At 49.0% G+C, this 4,561-nt stretch overlaps 1 annotated feature.

Moving 5' to 3' along the window:
• Nucleotides 3,081–3,130: a silencer, noted in NCBI's record as "silent region_20887". NCBI's record gives its function as "represses an Ori minimal core promoter by ATAC-STARR-seq in GM12878 lymphoblastoid cells {active_cell/tissue: GM12878}" and the evidence as "EXISTENCE:reporter gene assay evidence [ECO:0000049][PMID:35858748]".

A 4,561-nucleotide genomic window follows, 5' to 3' on the forward strand; every position in this document is an offset into this window, starting at 1 on the left:
CAGATTCCAGACCTAAAATAGAATCTGGTCTTAATCGCATAGTAACCCAGACACACACAAGTTGCAGGCAGAAGAGCAGCCTTTCTTCATACTACTCTGCAGGCTCCTGGATTCTCACAGTTGGATCAACTGCTCTAGACAAAGGTGCCAAAGCCGGGGTTCTCTCCTGAGGACAGCTGATCACTGGCATGGAGAAAGCAGATTTCTGAGACCACAAAGGAGAGAAATGTTAGAGACAGTTGGAGCCTCCAGGGCAGGGACAATCACTCCTCAGGCTAGCATCATCTGGGGGCCGCATACACATCTGGTAAATTGATGTTGACCTAAGTAGTGAAGAGCTGGCAGAATGAAGAGAAATAAGATTTGATTCAGCAGAAATGGGCCATTCATCCACTTCAGTTCAAACTTTCTTAGTTCCCAACATCCCTATGGTCTTGTCAGGACAAACCATGACCATCATCAGTCTCTGCCACCTTCCAGTCATCTGACAATCTGCACCTCTCACTCAATGGAACATTATGCAAATTTCACATTCAACAATGGTCTGTTGGTGCTGTAATTGACATCCAGATTAGCCCTAAGAAAGGATTTCCTGACATTAGCAGAAAAATGTTCAACATTACCTAGAGTGGTTGGTTAATGTCATATTCCAACTAATGAAAATGTGAGCAATTCACCACCCCCACTACTTTTCAAGTGTTAGCGATTTGACTCACAAAATCAATCGGGAAAGAAAATGTCATTAAAGAAAAAGTGCCTTCATACCCCCAAATAAATGTTTTCTGAATGCTTTTCTCCCCTGCTCATCATTGGCCATCTGTCTGCGTAATGTTTGCTATTTAAGAATGTTCCTCCTCTAGGTCTCTGATGGCTCTGCTTTGCTGCTTTCTCCATCCCTCCTTTTTCAGCAGCCAGTCCTGCATGGCACTAAGAATGATTCCAGTAAGAGGAATTTAGGTGAAACCTAAGGAATGATTTTCTGGCTTTGAAAGATGTGAGACACTGGAAAAAAAAATAGTGGAGAGAAGTAGTGGAATCTCCATGGGAATGACCTTGGAGAACACTGACCCTCACAGAATCATAGATTCATGGAGTCTCAGGGCTGCAATGAATTTAGGGGCTTGCAGTCTCACCTCTGATTCAGAGCCTCAAGCCTTCTCTGCAGTATTTCTACCAAGTGCTCAGCTTGACCCAGTTTGCACACCACCAGCTTACCCTCTCTCAAGGCAGGCAGTTGGTTTTATGACAGGATAGCTTGAACTCTGAGAAAGTTCCAAATCTGTCTCCCTATATCTACCACCTCTTATCTCAGTCCCCAGGGGCCATATAGACCATGCCTGTCACTGTGTCCTTTAGAGGTCTGAAGTCACATCCTGAGGCCAAATAGCCCCACTTCTTCCAACTATTTCTCATGGGACTTGGGCTCCCTGTCCCTTCTTAACCTCCTCATTCCCCTGTAGAGATGTACCCGTGTGCCCTTAATGTATGGGGCCTCTAGGCTGGATACGTGTTCCAGACAGCAGAGAAGAGCAAAGCTGTTACATACTTGACTTGGTCTCTTTATCTCTATTGATACATCCCAAGTTCATGATGGCTTTCAGGATAGCATTTCTGCTCAGTGTTTCCTCTCTTTCCTTAGAAGGGATTTATATTGCTGGAGAGGTCAGCCCATTGCATTAGGATCTGTGCCTGGCGTGGTAGTTGTGTGACCCTGGGTAAGTGAGTCCAGCTGTCTGAACCTGTTTCCTCATCTGCGAAATAAGGATTATAAGAGTACCTACCTCATATGGTTGTCATGGGAAGTAAATGAGATAATGGATGGAAAATACATGACACATGGCAAAAGCTCAGTATACATTAGCTCTCTTTCCCTTTCCTTTCCTTATTTCTTGGCCCTAGGGCCTGGCTGACAGCTGGGGGCATCTCTAGGCCTGTGTGTGAAGGAAAAGCCGACGGGTGGAGTAACAGGACCGTAACCAGATGGCCCAGATTTCCGAGGACAAGCCTAATTTTAAGTATTCTGTTCTGTGATCAGATCATGTATTAGACAATCTGGCCCGATATTTTAGCTTGAAAAATATGGTCACTAGAATTGATGATGACATAGCGTGAATGCCCTAGCATAGACCAGCAGGCAAAAGATGGCAGAGCTTGGGTCCTAGTCAGGTAGCAGTGTGCTCACCCCGTGTGGTAAAATCAGGCAGTGATCCTATAAAGAGAACAGGTGGCAGGAATAGAAAATCAAGGCCTTCTCTCTAGTTCTAGGACCCAGCTTGGGCCCCTTCTTCACATATCTGTTCCCTGCTCTAGGGTGGGCTAGGCATGGACTGAGAGGGGCAGGACAATGCCATATGGAGGGAAAGCTGCCTACCCTTAGGTGGGACCCTGGGCCGAAAGTCAGTGGAGAGGGGAGCTTGCCCAGATACTTCCTCCAACTGCCTCTGAGCACTCTGCTCCTTCCTGCTCTCCTTTTCCTTTTCTCCTCTTGGATCACCTCCCTCTGCTTTCTATGTGTCTGTTTCTAGGTCTCACTAGTCTTTTGAACTCTGTGGCAAATTCTAGGTAGATCTCTGGGCAGTTTTCATGTATACTGCCCAAGGAAGGTCTTTCAACAAAAGAGCTGGAGTCTGGGAACCAAGGGGAGGATCCAGGCTGGGACTAGTCCCTGCTTGGTCACAAATTTGCTGTGTGACCTCAGGCAAATCACATCTTCTCTGAGTCTCTGTCCCCATCAGCAAGGTTTGGACTAGGTGACCTCTAAAGGTCCTTCCATCTAAAAAGTTCCACGATTTCAGTATGTGTGTGTTGATGCATCCCACGGAATCTCTGTACATCTTTGTTTTTCTTCAAACTGTCAGCCTATTTCTCTGTCTTTTTTCCCTCTCTCTTTCTCCCCCCTTCCTTTCTTCCCTCCCTTTCTGCAGTTCCCTCTTCCTCTTAGACTCTGTCAAGCTCCCCGACCTCTTTCTTCCTCTGAGATGTTCTGTGCTGCCTTTCACCATTGCTCCAATGCTGTTCTTCAGTAAGCACTTATTTATCCCAGCTCTGGGCACCCCTCTGCCACAGGGGTCCCATATGCACTCAGGGTACCAATCTGGCCAACTTAGGGCCTGAGAAAGGGGGACTGGGCAGCCGTAATAATTAACGCCTAGGCTGCCTACCATGGTCCTCTGCTGCCACCTGTCGTTAGTCCGGAGTGACACTGCTCTGGGGGCTGCTGAGCCCACAGGGGCCACTACCGCTGCTCTGGCCGACAGGAATCCATTACATGCAGTGTCCTGCCAGGCCTGATTTAAAGCTCATCCTGTAATCCGTCTTGCGCCCCCTCTGGGCCTGTCTCCGGTTTCCTAGCCTGTGAAATGGATGGAAGTTGTCTTCAGCTCTGGCAGAGAGAGGTGAGGAGTAGAGGCTCTAGGGACACCTGGCTTTGCAGCCTGCCCCTGTGCTTGTCCTGGTGGGTGACCTGGGGTGAATCCTTCCCCATCCCCTTCTTTGCAGCCTGCAGTATTGAAATGGATGATGTGGGAAGACATGGTTGAGAGAAAAGGGGCAAGATGGATTCCTGTCTTTCACACAAGCAGTACAATGCTGAGAAACTGGAAATGGACATACCCACTGCATCTACAAACCTTTGGCCAGGTCACAACTCCATCTTAGCAGCCAAGCCTTTCTATTCATTCACCCATTCACTTATTACTCACCCATTCATTCCACCAAGCAGCCTGGGGCTGTGGGAAAAAGCACTCAGCGGGAAATCAGAAGCCCAACCTTCTCGGCTCAGCTCAGCCACGGTTCTCCAACCTGGGCCAAGCCCGTATCTTTCTCTGAGCCTCCATTCCCTCCTCTGTAACATGAAGGGGTTGGGACAGACCAGGAGAAGTCTAAATTCCCTCCCTCATTCTGCCATTCTAAAGTGATGATTCTCCAATTGCAGGTGCCTTGCTAAGCACACTGGGTGATGAACAATTACAGATCCCCACTCAGAGGCCAGGGAAAACCTGCCTCATAGCCCCCAGACACCCTCCACTCACCTCCTAGACCTCTGGCTGGCCTTTTCAAAGCCCACCAATGAGCAGGCCCTTGCTAAGTTCCTCCTTTCTTCCCCCGGGGCACTGTTCTGGTGCCAACTGTCAGGTCATATGACAAGCACAGATGTCTAGACGTCATCTAGCCCTGGCCACTTGGGTTCATGAAAATCAGCAATTCCTGGCACTGAAAAGTCCTTAAGACTTCCTCCTGGCGATGCCAGCCCCAGCATCCCCAGAGACTTGAACTGGGGCCAGGATGAGCGGGCTGGAGCTGGTTGGCATCAGACTCAGAGTCCCAAACTCCTCCCTCGCCAGGTTTTAAAGCCACTGAGAACCCTGCTGCACAGCCATTGACATCTGAAAGGTTGCAAAGAAGCCTAGCTTGGGGACTGGTGGCTTCCTGGCCCAAGCTCTGCTCCCAGAAATACTCAGCTGAAGCCAGGGTCCCAGGCCAGCTGCATCATCTCAGCCTGGCTACACTGCCATCGGCAAGGTGCCATGCACAGAATTGCAGCCAGGTAGTGGCCTCCCAA

This window comes from Homo sapiens, chromosome X (genome assembly GCF_000001405.40).
Source record: "Homo sapiens chromosome X, GRCh38.p14 Primary Assembly".
NCBI classification, from domain to species: Eukaryota; Metazoa; Chordata; class Mammalia; order Primates; family Hominidae; genus Homo; species Homo sapiens.